The 23,720-nt window shown below is 47.6% G+C and overlaps 1 protein-coding gene across 26 annotated transcripts in view, besides 1 other annotated feature; it reads right to left on the bottom strand.

The window, feature by feature from the left end:
- Positions 1–23,720, bottom strand: part of PPARA (peroxisome proliferator activated receptor alpha) — a 93,231-nt gene that overhangs the window by 11,473 nt on the left and 58,038 nt on the right. For 19 of the 26 annotated variants that reach the window (XM_047441420.1, XM_047441421.1, XM_047441423.1 and 16 more), the window contains 4 exons: positions 16,951–17,111; positions 13,883–14,021; positions 12,270–12,472; positions 45–492 (listed from right to left, as the gene is read on the bottom strand). In XM_047441420.1, the coding sequence (XP_047297376.1) occupies positions 45–492; positions 12,270–12,472; positions 13,883–14,021; positions 16,951–17,111 (951 nt within the window). Of the gene's footprint in view, positions 1–44; positions 493–12,269; positions 12,473–13,878; positions 14,022–16,950; positions 17,112–23,720 lie in introns of those variants that run through there. The other 7 variants (NM_001393946.1, XM_017028839.2, XM_047441427.1 and 4 more) reach the window with 7 other exon arrangements.
- Positions 17,413–17,914: an enhancer, noted in NCBI's record as "H3K4me1 hESC enhancer chr22:46610267-46610768 (GRCh37/hg19 assembly coordinates)". NCBI's record gives its function as "activates a minimal SCP1, AML or CMV promoter by ChIP-STARR-seq in naive and primed H9 embryonic stem cells {active_cell/tissue: H9 hESC(naive and primed)}" and the evidence as "EXISTENCE:reporter gene assay evidence [ECO:0000049][PMID:30033119]".

Genomic DNA, 23,720 nt, shown 5'->3' with positions numbered 1-23,720 from the left:
GCCTGTCAGTGACATGATACCAGCAGATTAAATCAACCACTCACCTCCACAGCAAATGATAGCAGCCACAAAAAGGGAGATATCACTGTCATCCAGTTCCAGTGCATTGAACTTCATGGCAAAATCAAACTTGGGTTCCATGATATCACAGAACGGTTTCCTTAGGCTTTTTAGGAATTCACGAGTTATAAACCCATTTCCATACGCTACCAGCATCCCGTCTTTGTTCATCACAGAAGACAGCATGGCGAATATGGCCTCATAAACTCCGTATTTTAGCAATGTCACTTGATCGTTCAGGTCCAAGTTTGCGAAGCCTGGGATGGCCTTGGCGAATTCCGTGAGCTCCGTGACGGTCTCCACTGACGTGCACTGGCAGCAGTGAAAGATGCGGACCTCCGCCTCCTTGTTCTGGATGCCATTGGCCACCAGCTTGGCCACCAGCGTCTTCTCAGCCATACACAGTGTCTCCATATCATGTATGACAAAAGGCTACAAAGGAGGACACCAAGGTAAGTCAGGTGATGTGGGATGCGCTATGCTCCCAGCTATCAGCTCACTAATGAGCAGCTCCTGCGTCCAAATCACCAAGCTCAGTGCCTCAGAGGACTCAAGATACCCGCGGAACATAGTCCTTACTCAACTTCAAAATCGGTTGGGGAAAATAAGACATTAATAGAGAACAAACAGTATAAATCAGTAAAATAATAATAGTCATCGCCTGACATTGGGTGGATTTCATCGCTAAGAAACTGAAGTACTGGGCTGGGCATGGTGGCTCACGCCTGTAATCCCAGAACTTTGGGAGGCTGAGGTGGGTGGTTTACCTGAGGTCAAGAGTTCGAGACCAGCCTGGCCAGCATGGTGAAACCCCGTCTCTACTAAAAATACAAAAAAATTAGCTGGGTGTGGTGGCGGGCGCCTGTAGTCCCAGCTACTCGGGAGGCTGAGGCAGGAGAATGGCGTGAACCCAGGAGGCAGAGCTTGCAGTGAGCCGACATTGCGCCACTGCACTCCAGCCTGGGTGACAGAGCGAGACTCCGTCTCAAAAAAAAAAAAAAAATTAGCCAGGCATAGTGTGTGCCTGTAACCCCAGCTACTCGGGAGGCTGAGGCAGGAGAATCGCTTGAACCTGGGAGGTGGACGTTGCAGTGAGCCAAGATCGTGCCACTGCACTCCAGTCTCCAGTCTGGGCGACAGAGCGAGAGTAAGACTCCGTCTCAAAAAAAAAAGAAACAAGAAACTGAAGTACTGATTTTGTCAAAACAAAACTAACGAGGACATTAGCAAAGCACCTTTAATATTCTTAAATATTCTCTGAACTAATGACTATTGCAAGAGGCTTAATTACGATCATTCTTAATTTTACCAGTATATGCACTTTAGGGGTGAACACCATTATTTAACGCTGCTCAATGAATACATTTGGCATGTAAATACATACAACTCAGAAAGGTGGCATCTATGTAGAAATCGGCAAACAAGCGTTGTGAAACTCTTTAGGGATAAAGTGGAAAAGCCTCGGAATGCCCTTGTTTCTCTCAGTGCAGGAAACTGAAACCTTCACTCGGTGCTCCATATTCTGGAGCAAGTGCCAACTCCCCACAGCCGTGCCTTGTGTGCTCCCATGCCATCTGCATGTAAACCCAGTGGCCTGCCATTTCCTGAAGATCTCGTGGTGGAAGAGGTGGCTGGCCATATTATTTGAAGCCAACATGCTCAGAAGGGATTACATGTGTGGGAGAGCCGGGGAAAATGAGCACAAACACTGCTGTTGGCTGAAATTTACATCTGCGGGTAGAGCAGGAAAGTGACAACATCTGAGAGATCTCTCTGATTATAATGTGGTCCACAGCTCATGCAGACACAGGTCAATAATGCAGTGGGCTAAGGTGTTATTTCTTTTTTTTTTGAGACAGAGTTTTGCTCTTGTTGCCCAGGCTGGAGTGCAATGGCACAATCTCGGCTCACTGCAACCTCGGCCTCCCAGGTTCAAGCGATTCTCCCGCCTCAGCCTTCTGAGTAGCTGGGATTACAGGCATGCGCCACCACGCCCAGCTAATTTTGTATTTTTAGTAGAGACGGGGTTACACCATGTTGGTCAGGCTGGTGTCGCACTCCTGACCTCAGGTAATCTGCCCACCTCAGCCTCCCAAAGTGCTGGGATTACAGGGGTGAGCCACCGCGCCCGGCCTACAGCGTTATTTCTAATCACTGCTGGAACAGTGGAGCCCAAAGCGCAGAAGCATCCCAGGATTTAAAGAATGCCCCCTGCCAGTGGGCAAAACACAACCACTGACAATGCTTCTGACACACAGCCTGAAGTGTTTCCTGTTTCTGGACTCACAGCACAAAACTGTCTTCAGGGCACCGGTGGAGGTGCCGATAACCATCACACAGATGGTATGGAATGTTTCAACAGAACCAGGACTTGCAACATAATGCTGGACAAAAAGCCCTGATTCTGCATCTGAGGAAAGGGGATATTTAAAAAATTACTCACAAATGAGTGAAAACATTCTGAATACAATATTCAGAGCCAAGTTTCTAAATAATCTCAAGTCCGATTAATAAAGACTGAAAATGATCTCTCTCCAAGACCTTAAAAACAGTTCTGACCATTGTTTGTTAAAGTTTGGAGATAATTCTGCTTCACAGAAAGCTGAAGCTCAGATTTAAGGAATTAACATTTCTAGGAGGGGCTAGATAATTTTTTTTTTTTTTTGAGACAGAGTCTTGCTCTGTTGCCCAGGCTGGAGTGCAGTGGTGCAATCCCAGCTCATTGCAACCTCTGCCTCCGCCTCCTGAGTTCAAGCAATTCTCCTGCCTCAGCCTCCCGAGTAGCTGGGATTACAAGCACACATCACCACGCCCAGCTAATTTTTTGTATTTTAGTAGAGACGGGTTTCACCTTGTTACCCAGGCTGGTCTTGAACTCCTGAGCTCAGGCAATCTGTCCACCTCAGCCTTCCAAAGTGCAGGCCAGGATTACATGCGTGAGCCACTGTGCCCGGCCTCTAGGAGGAACTAAATAAATATTTTTCAAGGATCGATGGCAGTATTCCCTCAATTCCAGAAAATAGACTCTTAGGCCACCGTCACTTTATTCAAATCACTCAATCTTTCTAAAGTACATTCAGCAGAAATAAAGGTGTTAAATAATTTTTTTTTTTTTTTGAGATGGAGTCTCGCTCTGTTGCCCAGGCTGGAGTGCAGTGGCGTGATCTTGGCTCACAGCAAGCTCCGCCTCCCGGGTTCATGCCATTCTCCTGCCTCAGCCTCCCCAGTAGCTGGGACTACAGGCGCCCGCCACCATGCCCAGCTCATTTTTTTTTGTATTTTTAGTAGAGACGGGGTTTCACCGTGTTAGCCAGGATGGTCTCGATCTCCTGACCTCGTGATCCGCCCACCTCAGCCTCCCAAAGTGCTGGGATTACAGGCGTGAGCCACCACGCCCAGCCAATAATTTTTTTAAAAAATGAGTTCTGTTTTAAAAAAATAAGAAACACTGAGTTGAATGAAGTTGGGCCTCCCTAGCTGAGTCTTTAACATGATAAATGTGCAGTCTTCCAGAATGAGAATGAGGCTAGGATAAGCAGGGGTTCCTACAGTGTTTGATTACAGAATGCTTGGTGTTATTTATTGTTTTTTGGTAGAGCATCTCCCAGGACAAATGCAGGCCTGGCTACGTAATTTACAGGACCCAGAGCAAAAATGCAAATGTGGGACCCCTTGGTTTTTCTTTTTTGAGACGGAGTCTCGCTCTGTTGCCCAGGCTGGAGTGCAGTGGCGTGATCTCGACTCACTGCAACCTCCACCTCCCAGGTTTGAGTGATTCTCCTGCCTCAGCCTCCTGAGTAGCTGGGATTACAGGCACCCACCAACCACGCCTGGTTAATTTCTGTATTTTTAGTAGAGATGGGGTTTCACCATGTTGGTCAGGCTGGTCTCAAACTCCCGACCTCAGGTGATCCACCCGCTTCAGCCTCCCAGAGTGTTGGGATTACAGGCGTGAGCCACCACACACTGCGGGACCCCTTGTTCAAAGATGATTATGAATTTCAAGAAGGCAACAGCGGAGCATGAACACCCAAGCCTGGGCCTTTCTAGGCTGGGGGCATCGTTAAACAGCTTGCATGCCCCTGAGGCTCACCGTGGACTAGTTCTATGGGGATGTACTCTCGTAAATGAGGACTTCTGTGGTAACAAATATCTCATTTCATTTTTATAAAATTATCACTTTGGTTTTAGAAAGTGGGCCTCATTTAGCAGGGAGAACTGGAGACCACTGAATTCAAAATGAGTGGTACCATGAAGAAACCAATGTTTATTAAAGCTAAAGAGAAATGCTGTTGAAAAACACACTTGCAAATTCGCTAAACTTTATGGATAAACATTCTTGGTGAGATCATTTTACAAAAAAATCTATGCAGCAGCTTATATTTAACTTTGGAATATGCCTTTTATACTCAAGCTTGACTATGAATATATCTGACACGACAGGCAGTCATTTCAAATAAATGAAATAAAGCACATTATAAAGGTTTTAAACAGCGTGAGGCAGGAAGCTGCCTAGATTTTCCCCAATCACTCCATGCCGAGAGCAGAACGCCCCGCTTGCTGCCACACTGGTCCCGGCACACACTCATGTGGCCTACGAAGCTCAATGATATCACTCATGAGAATTCATCTCTGTTAGCAGCTGTCATCTTTTTGCAAAAAATTAAATGTGGACCAGGCGCAGTAGCTCATGCCCGCAATGCCAGCACTTTGGGAGGCCAAGGTAGGTGGATGACCTGAGGTCAGGATTTCGAGACCAGCCCGGCCAACATGGCAAAAGCCCGTGTCTACTAAAAATACAAAAATTAGTCGGGTGTGGTGGCTGGCACCTGTAATCCCAGCTACTTAGGAGGCTGAGGCAGGAGAATCGCTTGAACCCAGGAGGGGGAGGTTGCAGTGAGCTGAGATTGCGCCACTGCACTCCAGCCTGGGCAAGAGAGTGAGACTCAGTCTCAAAAATAAATAAATAAATAAAAAATAAATGTGAAGCACTGGTAGAACTGCTTTGGATGAAATTATTTAATAAGCTCTCTTGGTTATGTTTTACTATACATTTGTAGAAATGGCATAAAATATGAAGCACATTTTTTAATCTAAAGAAAACTTAAGTAGTAGGTATAATATTGGACTGTCACACGGCAGGCAACACCCCAAGACATGGTATAAGGTCATAGCTGTTGAAAGGAGCAGTCCTGTTATAACACGGCACCCTGGAGGTCACCCTTATGCCCAGGCTTCTGAAATGTTAAGAATAATGTTGGAATTCCTCTTTCAAAACTGGTCTTAAAAACCATGTTCAGCTGCATGTCACAAATTAGTCTCCTTGCTCAACTTTTTTTTTCTTTTTTCTGTTTTCTTTTTTTGAGACGGGGTCTTGCTGTGTCACCCAGGCTGGAGTACAGTGGCGCAACCACAGTCCACTGCAGTCTTGACCTCCATCCTCCTGCCTCGGCCTCCTGAGCGGCTGGAACCACAGGCGCACACCACCATGCCCAGCTAACTTTTCATAGAGGAGGTCTCACTATGTTGCCCAAGCCGGCCTTTCTTATTTTTTTAAACAAGACGTTTTACTCTGTTTAATCCCAACTTGCATGCCAGTCTAGCTACAATGGACTCATGGTTTGTCTAAAATTCAGTTCTATTCTCAGAGGGTAAAATCTTCCATAACTGAAGCTATTCAAAGACTTTAAGATAATCCCCAACAATTTGGAGCAATAGGAGAATCTTTGAAAAAATAACACGGCACGCCCAATTCCTACTTTCTTCATTTGAACTGAGTGTCAGTTCTGATATGTTTGTTAGATTAAAAAGTAGCAGGACAACGTTATTATCACCTTATAGTTTGAATTTCTAAAGTCCACATATTCAGTGCTAAAGAATTATTTGGTTGTTTAACTGAACACCACACTCATTTTTTGGAAGGTGCAGTTTGCTTCTTAAGCCCAAAGCAGCTAAGCCTGAGCAACAGTAAGTGTGTGTGTGAGCATGTGTGTGCACGTGTGTGTGAGCATATGTGCACACATGTGAGTGTGGGTATGCGTGTGAGCATGTGTATATATATATATGTGTGCATGCTTGTATATGTGTGGGTACGTGTGTGGGTACATGTGTGCATAAGGTGAGGGTATGTGTGTGCATATACATGCATGTGAGCATGTATAAGCACATGTGTAGTTTGTAAGTGTGTGTGTGTATGCATCTGTGTGAATGCATGTGTTTGTATGTGTGTGTATGCATGTGTGTGACTGTATGGGTGAATGTGGATTTGTGTGTGCCTGGGTGCATGTGTGTGAGCATGCATGTGTGTGTGTACACACAGGTGTGGGTACATGTGTGAGTGTGCGTGTATCCATGTGTGGGTGCATGTGTGTGTGTGCGTGTGTGGGGGTGGAGGTGCGTCTGTGTGCATGTGTGGGTGCACGTGTATGTGTGGGGGTGTGTGTGTTTACACGTGCATGCATGGATGTGTGAGTGTGTACCCATGTGAGCATGGATGCTTGTGTGCGTGTGGGTGCATGTGTGTGTCCATGTGCATGTATGGGGGTGGAGGTGCATCTGTGTACACGTGTGGGTGCATGTGTATGTGTGGGTGTGTTTGTGTACACATGCATGCATGGATGTGTGACTGTGGGTGCATGTGTGTGAGCATGCATGTGGGTGCACGTGTATGTGTGTGTACCCGTGTGTGCACGGATGTGTGAGTGTGGGTATGTGCGTGCATTTGTGCATGAGCGTGCATCACACAGAAGGCACTGACTCTGCCCAAGCCCCTCAGTCTCATTTTCTGTTGCTTCCTCCAAAGTCTTCTGACGACATTCTCAACCCCTGACAGGTCAACATCTTATGTTTTTAGACACTGTTGAAAAGCACCCATTTTTATTGCCTCCCTCAGCCCCCTGACTCTGCTTCCATCCCTGTTACCCTCAAATCAAGGGGCAGTGAGTTCCCCAGAGGCGCCCTTCCCCATCACCAAGGGCCCTGACCATTTTCTGGCCCACGGTTCTGAAATCTCAGGGGCTCAAACAGTCCCAGTGTCCAGATGGACACAGACATTCTCCATCCACCCCTCACTCCTTCCCTCAGCTAAAGCCCACCTTTCCTCAAGCAATGGCATCTATGCGGCTCCATGCAGCGGCCTCCCCCTGCCCCCACAGCCTCCTCCGTGCACCCTGGCCGGTTCCAACCCCGACCCAAGCCTCCTGGCTGATTCTAGGCCTCCCACAACTCCCCCACCGGTTTCAGGCCCCCCCCCAGCATTCTAGCCTGTTCCAGCTCAGCCATGGGGCTTTGCGTCATCTGATCTGAAGGCCACGAGCTGATCTTGACAGAAGAAAGGCATTGGCCACTGCAAAGAGAAATTCAGTCCCCCGCTTATAGCAAACCAGAGGGCTGCTTTGAAATTAAAATCTATCCATCCCCCGTGCTTCCCCATCAAGGCTTTGAACATTTCAGGGTTGCTTTCACCCCAGCAGCCCCTGCAGGGAGGAGGCGAGCCTGCCTTCCCCAGCACACAGCCCACGTTCATTACGGTTCGTATGAATCCATTAGTTTACTGGCCTGGACAGTTTACTGTGCCGCCTCTCATCCCCAAACAGAAATGAAGTCAGCCGCCGGCCCTGAGGTCAGTGTGCCTTCCTGAGGCTCTGTGGGGCGTGGCTGGGGCTGTGAGGTCACCCAGGCTGGAAACTGATGAAACGGCGACCGCATGTGGGCCACTGGGCAGAGATCAAGGTGTTTCCAGGCCGCTGCTTGGTCTCCCTAACAGATTTCTTGCCCACAGATGGGGTTGCTTTCTGAGATGTGTAAGGGACACAGGCTATGGTCTTCCACTACCCACCTTGGCCACAAAACCAGAGCTCTGCCAATAGATTCAGGCAGTGTGGCCTGGTGGTGGGCATCCTGCCAACGGGGCCTTTTCCCAGACTAAGCAGAGAGGGTATCCTGCACCTGAAGGAGCCAGCTCTGGAAAGCCCGTCAGCAGGCTAGGCAGGGAGGAGGGGGCCGTGCCTCCAGCGTCCCGTGCGCAGACAAGGACATGGGGTGGGACGCAACCCTGGCTTGGAGCAAACAGTGTGATCAAACACAAAGAGTCACATGATGGTTGGAGGTTGCCTTGAAAACTGGTACCTGCGGTGCTCTGGCTTTGTGGGTGTGGGTGGAAGAGGGCATCTGACTCTCGGAAGAGTGCCCGGTTCTCTTTTTCTACAGAAAACCAAATTGTGAACCCCAATCCTAAACTATTCATCTATCATTTCTTTCTTTTTTTTTTTTTTTGAGATGGAGTCTCACTCTGTCACCCAGGCTGGAGTGCACCGGTGTGATCTCGGCTCCCTGCAACCTCCACCTCCCAGGTTCACGCCATTCTCCTGCCTCAGCCTCCCGAATAGATGGGACTACAGGCGCACACTGCCATGCCCGGCTAATTTTTTGTATTTTAGTAGAGATGGGGTTTTACCATGTTGCCCAGGCTGGTCTCGAACTCCTGAGCTCAGGTAATCCGCCCTCCTCTGCCTCCCACAGTGCTGGGATTACAGGCATAAGCATGAGCAACCACGCCTGGCCCTCTTTTTTTTTTTTTTTTGAGATGGAGTCTCGCTCTGTCACCCAGGCTGGAGTGCAGTGGTGTGATCTCGGCTCACTGCAACCTCTGCCTTCCAGGTTCAAGCAATTCTCCTGCCTCAGCCTCCTGGGTAGTTGGGATTACAGGTGCCCACGACCATGCCTAGCTAATTTTTGTATTTTTAGTAGAGACGGGGTTTCACCATATTGGTCAGGCTGGTCTCCAACTCCTGACCTCAGGTGATCCACCTGCCTCAGCCTCCCAAAGTGCTGGGATTACAGGCATGAGCCACCGCGCCTGGCCTATTATTTATTTCTTTAAGGCCAAAATGCAAACAGATTCCCGCCTGCTAGTTGCTGCATGTGACCCTCAGCTGAGGGTGATGGGGTTCCTAGAGCTTGGTGGTCTCCAAGGGGAGGTGCAGGAGGACTCCAGGAGTCCCATTCGCACCCCATGGTGGGGGCAGGTTGTTAGGAAGAAAGACAACTTAACTCTGCTTCGAATTTTTTTTAGAGAGTCTCGCTTTGTCGCCTAGGCTGGAGTGCAGTGGCGCGATCGTGGCTCGCTGCAGCCTTGAACTCCTGGCCTCAAGGCATCCTCCTCAACCTCCCAAGTCGCGGGGACTATAGGCATGTGCCACCATGCCTGGATAATGTTTTTATTTTTTGTAGAGATGTGGTCTTGCCATGTTGCCCAGGTTGGTTTTGAACTCCTGGGCTCAAGCCATCCTCCCATCTCAGCTTCCCAAGTACCTGGGACCACAGGCACATGCCACCATGCCCAGCTAGTTTTTTAAAAAATCATTTTTTGTAGAGACGAGGTCTCCTTGTGTTGCCTGGTCTCAAACTCTTGGATTGCCTCAAGTGATCCTCCCGCCTCAGCCTCCCAAAGTGCTGGGATTACAGTGTGAGCCACTGTGCCCAGCCTGCTTTCAATTCTGAAATCCAAGGGAGAAATATAAGCTGGCAAACAAAAGTTTTAGCCATCCCAATTTTGGGCTGTACTAATCATATCCAGGATAGAGACTCGAAGCTAAAAGTTACCTTTTCTTTCACTCTCGTAATCCAGGAAAGTTCTAATTGGGACAAGCCTCTGGAGCTGCCTAGTGTGGGTGTCTGCTGGAAACTTCTAAAATGTCTCGGCCTATTTAATTGGAGAATTCACTGAAGAATTAAAGGACTCAGTAAAGAAGAGGTTTGGTTTGTTCATGAAAGTAAGTAGCTTGTGAAATGCTTTATTTTCCTGTGACTAAAATTCCACCTTGTAATTCCCAATAAGGATTGCTTCAAGCTATTTAATACAAATTAAACCTGTTTCACCATGCTCATAGGAAAATGTCAAAGTATCTTCATTCACCAACTGAGGGCTGGCTCTTCTTTGAAGGTAGCTCTGAGATTTGTTTTGTAATGGAGACAAAGACTTATTTAACTGTTGGGGAGGGGGAAGGAGGACTTAGGCCAGGCAGGCGGGGATGTGGGGGACGAACCATGAGGGGCAATTTGGCTGCCTCTGAAAAGGTCCAGAGCTACCTTAAAAGACAGGCTTTCTATAACAAGTGGTCCTTTCTTTTCCTTTCTTTTTTTTTTTGAGACAGAGTCTCACTCTGTTGCCCAAGCTGGAGTGCAGTGGTGCGATCTCAGCTCACTGCAACCTCCAGCTCCCAGGTTCAAGCAATTCTCCTGCCTCAGCCTCCCAAGTAGCTGGGATTACAGGCAACCGCTACCATGCCCAGCTAATTTTTTGTATTTTTAATAGAGATGGGGTTTCACCATGTTGGCCAGGGTGGTCTCAAACTCCTGACCTCAAGTGATCCACCCACCTCAGCCTCCCAAAGTGCTGGGATTACAGACATGAGCCACCGCGCCCAGACACAGCTGGCTTTGTCGCCCAGGCTGGAAGTGCAGTGGCACGATCTCGGCTCACTGCAAGCTCTGCCTCCTGGGTTCACGCCATTCTCCTGCCTCAGCTTCCCAAGTAGCTGAGACTACAGGCGCCCGCCACCACGCCCGGCTAATTTTTTGTATTTTTAGTGGAGATGGTGTTTCACCATGTTAGCCAGGATGGTCTTGATCTCCTGACCTCGTGATCCGCCTGTCTTGGCCTCCCAAAGTGCTGGGATGACAGGCGTGAGCCACCACGCCTGGCTTACAAGTGGCCCTTTCTAAGCCCCAAGATGTCACTGTCTTTTCACTGAAGGCGGAAAAAGAATGTAGGCATGTTTGTCTGAGAGGGAGGGAGTAGTTTTAGGAGAAAGGACCAAGAGCACATTTTGAGTGGGAAGTAAGTGGTTTCCTTTTCTAGCCTTATGATATGGTTTGGCTCTGTGTCCCCACCCAAATCTCATGGTGAACTGTAATCCCCAGTGGTGGAGGTGAGGCCTGGCGGGAGGGACTGGATCATGGGGGTGATCCTTCATGAATGGTTTAGCACCATCCTCTTGGTGCTACTCTAGTGATAGCGTTCTCACAAGATCTGATGGGTGAAAAGTGTGTGTCTCTTGTTTTTGCTCCTGCCATGCAAGACGCCTACTCCCACTTCACCTTCTGCTATGAGTCAAATTCCCTGAGGCCTCCCCAGAAGCAGAAGCTTCCTGTACAGCCTTGTGGGCCACGAGCCAATTAAACCTCTTTTCTTTATAAATTACCAGGTCTCAGGGATTTCTTTATAGCAGACTAATACACCTCAAAGTAGGGATTTATTTTATTATTCTATTTTTTTTTTGAGATAGGGTCTCGATCTGTCACCCAGGCTGGAGTGCAGTGGCATGATCTCAGCTTGCTGTAACCTCTGCCTCCCGGGTTGAAGCAATTCTCATGCCTAAGCCACCCAAGTAGCTGGAATTACAGGTGTGTGCCACCCTGCTCAGCTAATTTTTGTATCTTTAGTAGAGTTGGGGTTTCTCCATGTTGGCCAGGCTGGTATCAAACTCCTGGACTCAAGCAATCTGCCCACCTTGGCCTCCCCAGAGTGCCAGGATTACAGGCATGACCCATCTTGCCTGGTCAGTTTTTTTTTTTTTAAATCCAGTTAATGCTGGGTGCCATGACTCACACCTGTAATGCCAGTGCTTTGGGAGGCCGAGGTGGGAAGATCACTTGAGGCCAGGAGTTTGAGACCAGCCTGGGAAACATCTCATCTCTACCAAAAAACAAAAACAAAACAAAACAACAACAACATCAAACATAGCCAGGTGTGGTGGTGCACACCTGTAGTCCCAGCTCCTTGGGAGGCTGAGGCAGGAGGATTGCTTGAGCCCAGGAGTTCAAGGCTGCAGTGAACTATGATTGCACCACTGCATTCCAGCCTGGGCAACAGAGCAAGAACCTATCTCTATTTAAGAAAAAATGCTCCTAAGAAATCATCTTAGTACTTGGTAAGCTATTAAGGTTTTTTTTAAGTGTATTAATTACATAGCCAGTATAATAACTTAGTTGCTAAGAGCTTTGAGGTGGCTCCAAGCAAGAAGAAAGGAGTTGTTGTTAAGCTACAGCTCAGAGTCTCAGAATGAACTGTTTCCATCTTCGCTGTCCTTTGCTTAACTGTGGGATAAATATAATTTTCTCAACATTCAACACATGTGTCCTTAATCGTCCTCTACGACACTGGTTCCATGTTGCCAAGAGAACCCAGAACAGCCGCAAACACCTACTGGATTGTTACTGGCCTTTCCTGAGAGGATGACCCGGGCTTTGACCTTGTTCATGTTGAAGTTCTTCAAGTAGGCCTCGTAGATTCTCTTGGCCAGAGATTTGAGATCTGCAGTTTCAGAATCTTCTATGTCATGTTCACAGGTAAGAATTTCTGCTTTCAGTTTTGCTTTCTCAGATCTTGGCATTCGTCCAAAACGAATCGCTAGGGTTTGGAGGGGGAAACACAGGCATGAGCAGTGAGGTCATGACTGCGCGGACAGGGCTGGACGAGGGGCTCCCCCAGGACTTTAAACCAGGAATGAAAATTCACAGGCAGTTCAGACCCATCCTTCATTACTATTCGGCTTTCCACTATGGAGAGATGAAAAACTCAAACTCCATACACTGTAGATGTTTAAACAGGTGCAGGCTGAAGGTGACACCATCGTTAACAGGTGCAGGCTGAAGGTGACACCATCGTTCGTCTCATTAGTAGGGTGCACACCACTATCAGGTGCATCATCAACCTTTGAGTGAAGGAGGTGAACGGGGCTTCGGGATGAGTTTATATAATAACTGCTTCTTTTTCCAGAAGGTAGACATGCAACTCTTATGAACGACTTACATTCACATCACAATTAGCATGTTCTGAAACTATTAAATGATTGGCTAGAAGGAAATTCATAACGTGGTGAGATGTTTGAGGTGGTACACCCTTCCTATGGACGAGGTGAACATTCTGTCATTTTGGTGCCTTCCACTTGGTTTTTCGATTCTGTATCAAAGTCTTACCACTGAAGTTTCTAACAGCGAGTCCAATGCACCACTGAATCTCAGCTATTTGAGACTTTTTCTTTTTTTTTCTTTTTTTTTGAGACGGAGTCGCACTCTGTCGCCCAGGCTGGAGTGCAGTGGTGCGATCTCAGCTCACTGCAACCTCCGCCTCCCGGGTTCAAGCTATTCTCCTGTCTCATCCTCCCAAGTAGCTGGGATTACAGGTGTGCACTACCATGCCCAGCTAATTTTTGTATTTTTATTAGAGACGGGGTTTTGCCATGTTCGCCAGGCTGGTCTCAAACTCCTGACCTCAAGTGATCCACCCGCCTCGGCCTCCAAAGTGCTGGGATTACAGGTGTGAACCACCGCACCTGGGAGACTTTTATTTTCTTTCTTTCTTTCTTTTTCTTTTTTTTTTTTTTGTGAGACGGAATCTCCCTCTGTCGCCCAGGCTGGAGTGCAGTGGCGCAATCTCAGCTCACTGCAACCTCCGCCTCCCGGGTTCAAGCGATTCTTCTGCCTCAGCCTCCCGAGTAGCTGGGACTACAGGCATGTGCCACCACACCCAGCTAATTTTTGCATTCTTAGTAGAGACGGGGTTTCACCATATTGGCCAGGCTGGTCTCAAACTCCTGACCTGAGGTGATCCACCCACCTCAGCCTCCCAAAGTGCTGGGATTACAGGCGTGAACCACCGCGCCTGGGCGACTTTTATTTTCTTAGGCCACTCTGATTACAAAATGACTTGGGTGTGAAATGTTGAAGCACATTCATCCATAGCTTGATCTGTTCCCTTGGAGCAAGGAAGGGGAACTGAGGAACGAACTGGGAAAATGTGCAGGGCCACCTTACCTACCGTTGTGTGACATCCCGACAGAAAGGCACTTGTGAAATCGACAATACTGGCATTTGTTTCTGTTCTTTTTCTGGATCTTGCAGCTGCGGTCGCACTTGTCATACACCAGCTTGAGTCGAATCGTTCGCCGAAAGAAGCCCTGTGAGGGTAATACACAGTGGATTTAAAGACCTGGGCCACTGAGAAACCAGCGCACTTGCTTTACTCACCTTTTTTGTTGCTCATTTATTGTTTCTTTTTAAATGAACAAAATTTAGAGAAAAGTTATTCCAGGCCAGGCATGGTGATCATGCCTGTAATCCCAGCACTTTAGGAGGCTGAGGCGGGTGGATCACCTGAGGTCAGGAGTTCGAGACCAGCCTAGCCAACATGGTGCAACCCTGTCTCTACTAAAAATACAAAAATTAGCCGGGCATGGTGATGTAAGTCTGTAGTCCCAGCTACTCAGGAGGCTGAGGTAGGACAATCACTTGAACCCAGGAGGCGGAGGTTGCAGTGAGCTGAGATTGTGCCACTGCACTCCAGCCTGCGCGACAGAGTGAGACTCCATCTCAAAAAAAAAAAAAAAAAAAAAAAAAAAAAGAAAGAAATAGTTCTTCTAAGAAGTCTGGAATGATTAGGACAAATACAGAACTTTAAATGTCGTTACATTTAATGTGAAAAACAATAAAATGAGGCAGCATTCGAAGTCATTTCAAAATGCCCTCATCTGACTTGGGAAAACACAATTATAGTTTTCCAAAGAGTTACTCAGCCTTGTTACAATGTATATGAATGTAACTATCCCCAGCATTGTGACATTTCCATATTTGTGACTAAAGACTTTCTAAGAATTTTTGTAAGAGTATATTAACTCCCTCAAAGACAAAAATTATAATAAAAGGAAGCCAGCTGTTTGTAAACAATTTTCTTGCTTTGTAAAAGCATCTTAAACTCTACCCAGCAAGAAACAATGTTACTAAATAGTCCATAAAAAACAAAACTAAATGAATAATTAATCATGGCCCTAAGGAAAAGGCCACTTTATAAGGAGCTTTTTCAAAGGTATATGGTTAGAAAACATGCGAAGGAGTTCATTTTTGCTTTGGGTTCTTTTTTCTCTTTGCTTTTAAGTCATTCTTCTATATTTTTGCCACAGTGGGTCTGCTTGGCCCGCGGGAGAGGGACAGCAGTGTGCAGGGGAATGTGAGAGGCAGGCTGACGTCTTCATAATGTCCTTACCTAGGCTTGCACAGTGGGGAGGCTGAGGAACGCATGGGGTTAGAATGGGAAGGGTGGGGAGACAGGCTTCTAGACAGCAGAGTGCCACAGTGTCCTGGCTGTGAGGTTCTCCCTGTGGCCCAGGCCTCTGAGGCCAGGCCTGGCTCAGGGCAGAATGCTGGTGTTCCAAGATGGTACATTGTGCCAGAAAGGCGGTGGCATTTTCCAAGTTAGTGAACACCTGCAGCGTGCACCGTGAGAAGGGATTTCTGATTCAAACCAAACATTCAGATGATGATCTCCCACATATCACGTACATAAGGCGCCAGACTTGAGCACGTCTGTGCAACCCTAAAGGGACGCTGCTACAGGAGCTCTCCTCATCACCACGCTGACAAACACGGAAGGGCCACCAGTCCAGCTGGCAGCATGCAGGACAACAGGGCCTGCCTTCATGCACTCCTGGCCCAGGTCACATCTGTTTAGGGCAGGCTGAGCCAGCAGGAGGATGAAGATGCACAGGGGGTTCCTGTCGCTTGAATCAGGTGGAGAAGCCCCTGATGTGCAGGAAGGAACTGCTGGGGAGCAGGAGCAGCCAGTCTCTGGTTCCAGTCCCTGCTGCTGGGGGCTGTGGGACCCTAAGCAAGATACTCTGTGTCTCTGATGGCCAATTTCCCTGGCAGGAGCATGAGAACACCTGCCCCACCTGGCCTTCAGGGAGGCTCCAGAGATCAACGGTAACAGCTCTCTGTCTTGTATTCGAATGAAGTGATGTTCTTAATGTGGCTTATTTTCTTTTCTCTCTTTTTTTTTTTTTTGAGATGAAGTTTTACTCTTGTCGCCTAGGCTGGAGTGAAATGGCTCGATCTCAGCTCACTGCAACCTCCGCCTCCTGAGTTCAAGCAATTCTCCTGCTTCAGCCTCCCAAGTAGCTGGGATTACAGGCACCCACCACCACACCTGGCTAATTTTTGTATTTTTAGTAGAGACAGGGTTTCACCATGTTGGCCAGGCTGGTCTTGAACTCCTGACCTCAGGTGATCCAGCCGCCTCGGCCTCCCAAAGTGCTGAGATTATAGGCGTGAGCCACTGCACCCGGTCCAATGTGACTTATTTTCTTTTAAAGAATGCACTTCTCTAAGTATTTACAAAGCACAGAGGAACCATTTGTCCTAGACTCTCTAAAGCAGCAATCCCCAACCTTTTTGCCACCAGGGACCGGTTTCATGGAAGACAATTTTTCCACAGATGGGGGTGGGGAGGGATAGTTTCAGGATGAAAGTGTTCCACCTTGGAACATCAAGTATTAGATTCTCATAAGGGGCGTACAAGCTAGATTCCTCAAATACGCAGTTCACAACAGGGCTTACGCTCTCAGGGGTTCTGTGCTATAAAGAGAGGCTAATCTATCACTGAGGTCAGTTTCTTTTTCTTTTTCTTTTTTTCTTTCTTTTTTTTTAAGATGGAGTCTCACTCTTGTTGCCCAGGCTGGAGTGCAGTGGCGCAATCTTGGCTCACTGCAACCTCTGGCTCCTGGGTTCAAGCAATTCTCCTGTCTTTGCCTCTCGAGTAGCTGGGCTTACAGGCGCCCACCACCACGCCTGGCTAATTTTTTTTGGTATTTTTAGTAGAGACAGGGTTTCATCATGTTGGCCAGGCTGGTATCGAACTCCTGATCTCAGGTGATCCACCCATCTCGGTCTCCCAAAGTGCTGGAATTATAGGCATGAGATACCGCGCCTGGCCTGAAGTCAGTTTCTTATCCGGGACTTTCTGCAATCTCTCAGTAATGACTGCCATTTGCTATAAAAGTGACCATAAGTAGTTGATGGTGGCGGCCACCAGGCCCTGTTCCAGCTCCCCTCTACCTTGCAGCCTTCACACGCGTGGACTCCGTAATGATAGCCTGAGGCCTTGTCCCCGCAGATTCTACATTCGATGTTCAATGCTCCACTGGGAGACTCGTCCACGCTGCCGGGGACCACAGGATAAGTCACCGAGGAGGGGCTCGAAGCTGGTGAAAGCGTGTCTGGGGAAAAAGAGGAGAGACGGATGAATAGTCCAGGCATCACTATCCTGTGTCTGAACCGGGTCTATGAGGATGTGATTTCGCATACGAGGCTTCTAGTGCTGAGGCATAAACCTCAGAACACCCATGCGGGGCCGGGCCCTGCCTCTGGGTCACACCCTCTTGCACTCCTACAGCTGCCATTGTGCTGTGCTCCCAAAGCCAGCATGCTCGCTCTCACTGCTGCTGAGCTGACCCCGAGCTCCGGACCCACACACCTCAGATCACACATCCCTGGACCCGCACATCTCCGCCCCGCATATCTCCGGGCCCGCGCGTCTCCCATCCACACATCCCGCCCCGCACATCTCCTCATTCCCACATCTTCGATCTGAGCATCTCCGATCCACACATCTCCGCCCCGCGCATCTCCGGACCTGCACATCTCCCATCCACACATCTTCAGATTTGCACATCTTTGGACCCGCACATCTCTGGACCCACGCATCTCCGGACCCGCGCGTCTCCGGACCCGTGGATCCCCGGACCTGGGCATCTCCGATCAGCTCATCTTTGCTCTGCTCTGCACATCTCCAGACCCGCACATCTCCGGACCCCCACATCTCTGGACCCCCGCATCTCCTGACCCCCCAACATCTCCTGATCCACACATCTCCGCTCTGCACATTTCCGGACCCGCGCATCTCCGATTCGCCCATCTCCTGATCTGCGCATCTCCGGACCCACGCATCTCCTAGCCCTCCACATCTCCGATCCGCACATCTCGGGACTGGCACTTCTCCTGATCCGCACATTTCCTCCGGACCCCCACATTTCCGATCTGCACCTCTGGGTACGCGCACATCTCCGGACCCACACATCGGACCCGCACATCTCGGGCCCGCACATCTCCGCTGCACACATCTCCAGACCTGCACATCTATGGGCCCGCGCCTTGCCATACCGCCCATACCTCACCCTGCAGGACTCCCCATGCCCCCGCACTGACAGTGCCACGCAGAACTCGTTTTGTTTGCTTCCTTTCTTCCAGTTCTTCCGCAATTGTTAACTCAGTAAATGGCACCAGAATACAGTATAAAAATCTGTGTGGGCAACACCAAATGCACAATCCATGAAAGAGAAAATATAAGTTGGAATCTATGAAAGCTAATGAAACCTTCTGCTCTGCAAAAGACATTGCTAAGAAAATTAAAGACAAGCCACAGACTGGGAGAAAATATTTTCAATACACATGTGGTAATATACAAAGAGGTCTTAAAACAAACAACTCAATTGAAAAATGGGGGCTAGGCGTGGTGGCTCACGCCTGTAATCCCAGCACTTTGGGAGGCCGGAGCAAGCGGATCACGAGGTCAGGACATCAAGACCATCCTGGCTAACACGGTGAAACTCCGTCTCTACTAAAAACACAAAAAAATTAGCCGGGCGTGGTGGGGGCGCCTGTAGTCCCAGCTACTCGGGAGGCTGAGGCAGGAGAATGGCGTGAACCCAGGAGGCGGAGCTTGCAGTGAGCCAAGATCGCACCAATGCACTCCAGCCTGGGTGACAGAGCGAGACTTCATCTCAAAAAAAAAAGAAAAGAAAAAAAAAAGAAAAAGTTAGCTTGCCATGGTGGTGCGTGCCTGTAGTCCCAGCTACTTGGGAGGCTGAGGCAGGGGAATCGCTTGGACCCGGGAGGCAAAGGTTGTAGTGAGCTGAGATTGTGCCACTGCACTCCAGCCTGGCGACAGAGCAAGACTCCGTATCAAAAGGAAAAAAAAAAAAAAAAAGAAAGAAAATGGGCAAAAGATCTGAACATCTGAACAGTCACTTCAGCAAGGACGATATACAGATGGCAAGTAAGCATATGAAACAATGCTCAGCATGATATGTCATCGGGGCACTGAGAATGAGAACAACAATGTGGTGTCACCACACACCTACTAGGATGACTAAAATCCACAAAACTGACATCATCAAATCTGGTGAGGATGTGGAGCAACAGGAACCCCCATTCATTGCTGGTGGGAATGCAACATGAGACAGCCCCCTTGGAGGACATTCTGGCAGTTTCTGACAAAGCAAAGCAGTTTTACTGTATGATGGAATCACACTCTTAGGTATTTGTCCAACTGATTTGAAAACTTCTGTCCACACAAAACCTACACATGTATACAGCAGTTTATTCTTTTTCTTTTTGGGACAGAGTCTCACTCTGTCACCCAGGCTGGAGTGGAGTGGCACGATCTCAGCTCACTGCAACCTCTGCCTCCAGGTTCAAGTGATTCTCCTGCCTCAGCCTTCCAAGTAGCTGGGATTACAGGTGCCCATTACCACGCCCGGCTAATTTTTGTATTTTTAGTAGAGACAGCGTTTCACCATGTTGGCCAGGCTGGTCTCAAACTCCTGACCTCAAGTGATCTGCCCGCCTTGGCCTCCCAAAATGCTGGGATTACAGGTGTGAGCCACTGTGCATGGCCAGCTTTATTAATTGCCAAAAATTGGAAGCAACCAAGATGCCCTTAGATAGGTGAATAGATATACAAACTGTGGTACAAACAGACAGTGGGAACTCATTCAGTGTAAAAAGAAATGAGATATCAAGCCATGGAAAGACATGGATGACTCTTAAATGCATATTGCTATGAAAGAAGTCAGTCTGAAAAGGCTACATACTATATGATTTCAAATTCATGGCGTTCTGGAAAAGGCAAAATTATAGCAATGGTAAAAAGAACCATTTCTGAGCTGGCTGGGGGTGGGAGAGGCAGGGTTGAATAGGTGAAGCATGGGGTTTTTTGATGTGGTGAAACTATTCATATGAAAATCTAACAGTGGTCTGGGCACGGTAGCTCATGCCTGTCATCCCAGCACTTTGGGAGGCCGAGGCTGGCAGATAACTTGAGCTCAGGAGTTTGAGACCAGCCTGGGCAACATGGTGAAACCCTATCTTTACAAAAAATACAAAAATTTGCTGGGCTCAGCGGTGTGCACCTGTAATCCCAGCTACTTGGGAGGCTGAGGTGGGAGGATCACCTGAGCCCTGGGAGGCTGAGGCTACAGTGAGCTGAGATTATGCTGCCACTGTACTCCAGCCTGGGTGTCACAGTGAGACCTCCATCAAAGGAGAGGAGAGGAGAAGAGAGGAGAGGGAAAGAGAAAGAAAGAAAAGGAAAGGAGAGGAAAGGAAAGGAAGGAGAGAGACCGGGTGTGGTGGCTCACGCCTGTAATCCCAACACTTTGGGAGGCCGAGGTAGGTGGATCACAAGGTCAGGAGTTCGAGACCAGCCTGGCCCACATAGTGAAACATCGTCTTTTGTATTTTGTAAAAATACAAAAAGTTAGCCAGGGGTGGTGGTGCGTGCCTGTAGTCCCAGCTACTCGGGAAGCTGAGGCAGCAGAATGGCTTGAACCCAGGAGACGGAGGTTGTAGTGAGCCGAGATTGTGCCACTGCACTCCAGCCTGGGTGACAGAGCAAGACAAGAAGGCGAGAAAGCAAGAAAGAGAGAGAAGGAAAATGTAGTGGTGGATACATGACACTACGCATTTGTGAAAACCCACAGAACTTTATAGTTCAGATTGAACCTAATGTGTGCAAATAAAACAAAAATAACTTAGGAGGTTGGAGGATCCCAGGGTGAAATGCAGAATGTAACAAAACAATCTAACTGTGCTACGAATGTAGGAAACAATCTCAGGGGAAAAAGTGGGTGCAGGTGCGGAAAGGCGCTGCACCGAATAATTTGGAATGATTGGAATCTGTAAGACTAAAGGCAAAAGGATCTGGCTGTAAACACTGTGCTCTAGCTGATGGAGTTTTTTTCCCACAGGGTGTGGGTTAACAGTTCTGATACCACTGTGCAGGTATACTGAAAATGAACCATGAACTCAAGGAATGGTGAATTGACAGGTAGGCAAGTGGAGGAGGCTAGAACGATCCATCTGGTAACAGATGAGGGCTGGAGACATCAGCACACACTCATGTTTGGCTTCATACAGCTACAGATGGCCACAGACAGAAATACCGATAGATTCCTGTATAGACATAGGTTAGTATGTATACATATATGTATTTGCTCTGCCAGCTGAGAGCCTGAAAAAGGGATACTTCAGTAGCAACCTGAAATGATGATAGTGAACGCTGCCTGGGGCCCACATGGAGCTGGATATAGTCCTGCTCTCGCCTCCCACAGTGGAAGATCACTGAAGTCATGGGGCATCAGGTGAAGCTCAAAGTGGTTTTGCCTCAGCAGTGGGGCAAAGTTATCTCTAAAACAAACACTGTGATAGTCCCATCTAATGAAGCTGAGAAACAGGACCTGAAAGGATCAAAGATTTTCCAAGTAACTTAATTGCATCCCAGAACAAAGTTCAAGAATATTTATAGGAAATCAAAAATATCCATCACCCAATAAAGTTCCCAACATATGACATCCAATGAGAACAACTGGCCAGGCACGGTGGCTCATGCCTGTAATCCTAGCACTTTGGGAGGCCGAGGTGGGCGGATCACTTGAGGTCAAGAGTTCAAAACCAGCTTGGCCATCATGGTGAAACCCCGTCTCTGCTAAAAATACAAAAAATTATCTGGGCATGGTGGTGAGCACCTGTAATCCCAGCTACCTGGGAGGCTGAGGCAGGAGAATCACTTGAACCCAGGAGGTGGAGGTTGCAGTGAGCCAAGATTGTGCCATCGCACTACAGCCTGGGTGAGAGAGTAAGACTCCATCTCCAAAAAAAAAAAGAAAAGAAAATTACAGGACACATGAAGAATCAGAAAAATATGACCCATGACAAGGAGAAAAATAACTGAATAGAAAGGGACTCAGAAGTGACACAGATGATAGAAATTGTGGCTAAGAGTTTTTTTTTTTTTTTTTTTTGAGATGGAGTTTCGCTCTTGTTGCCCAGGCTGGAGTCCAATGGTGTGATCTCGGCTCACCACAACCTCTGCCTCCCGGGTTCAAGCAATTCTCCTGCCTCAGCCTCCCAAGTAGCTGGGATTACAGGCATGTGCCACTGTGCCTGGCTAATTTTGTATTTTTTGTAGAGACGGGGTTTCTCCATGTTGGTCAGGCTGGTCTCGAACTCCCGACCTCAGATTATTTCCCAACCTCGGCCTCAAGACATTTTTAAAAAGTTATTCTGGGCTGGGTACAGTGGCTCATGCCTGTAATCCCAACACGTTGGGAGGCCAAGGCTGGAGGATTGTTTGAACCCAGGAGTTTGAGACCAGTCTGGGCAACAAAGTGAGACCCGTCTCTTCAAAAAATTTAAAAATTAGCCAGGTGTGGTGGTGTGTACCTGTGGTCCCAGCTACATAGGAGGCTGAGGTGGGAGGATTCCTTGAGACGAGGAGGTTGGGGCTGCAGTGAGCTGTGATCATGCCACTGCGCTCCAGCCTGAGTAACAAAGTGAGACCCTGTCTCTAAAACAAAACAGCAAAAAAAGTTATTCTGACCATATTCTAAATGTTTAAGAAGCTGAGTGAAAGACTGGACATGTTATATAGATACATGGGTGAAAACAGAACCAAATCATGCTTCTAGTTATGAAAACTACAATATCTAATATGGAAAATACACTGGATAGGATTAGGAGCAGATTAGATATTGCAGAAGAAAAAATTAGTAAATTTGAAGATGTAGCAATAGAAAGTGTCCAAAATGAAACACAGAAACAAGACTTAAAAAAAGAACTTAGCATTAGTGAACTGTAATGACAACTTCAAGTGGCCTAATGTATGTATAATTGGAGCTCTCAAAGGTAGACAGAGAACGACAAAAAAGTTTGAAGAAATAATGGCCTAATCTTCTGAATTTGATGAAAACAATAAGTGCACTGATCCCAGATGCTCAATGAACCTCAAGCACAAGGAGCATAAAGGAAGAAACCATCAAATGGTTCAGAATTGGTAAGAAAGAAAAAAATTTAGAAGCAGCCAGATATATAAAAAGATAAAAGATAACAAGTGGTTGGCAAGCATGTAGAGAAAAAAGAACCCATGTCCACTGTTGGTAGTATTGTGAATTAGAATAGCATTATGCAAAATAAGTATGGAGGTTCCTCAAAAAAACAAAAATAGCACTACATATGATCCAGCAATCCCACTTCTGGGTTTATATCCAAAGAGATTGGAAGCAGTATGCTGAAGAGATGTCTACACTTCCATGTTTACTGCAGCACTATACACAGTAGCCTGATGTGGAATCATCCTAAATGATCATTAATGAACGAAGAGATAAAGAAAATGTGATACACACACACACACACACGCACACACACACACACACGAATACTATTCAGCCTTAAAAAAGAAGGAAATTCCATTTGCAACAACATGGGTAAATCTGGAAGGTATTATGCTAAGTAAAAGAAGCCAGGCACAGAAAGACAAATACCATGTGATCTCATATGTGAAATCTAAAAAGGTCAAACTCATAGCAGTAGAGAGTGGAATGGTGGTTATCAGGGGCTGAGGTTGAGGGAGGGAATGGGGAGATGTTGGTCAAAAGGAAAAAAGTTTTAGTTAGACAGGAAGAATAAGATTTAGTGATCTACTACCCACTATGGTGACCATAATTAACAATGATGTATTGTGTATTTCAAAATTGCTCAAGGAATAGACT

This window comes from Homo sapiens, chromosome 22 (assembly GCF_000001405.40).
Source record: "Homo sapiens chromosome 22, GRCh38.p14 Primary Assembly".
Lineage (NCBI taxonomy): Eukaryota > Metazoa > Chordata > Mammalia > Primates > Hominidae > Homo > Homo sapiens.
This window is presented reverse-complemented; position numbering and strand designations above follow the sequence as displayed.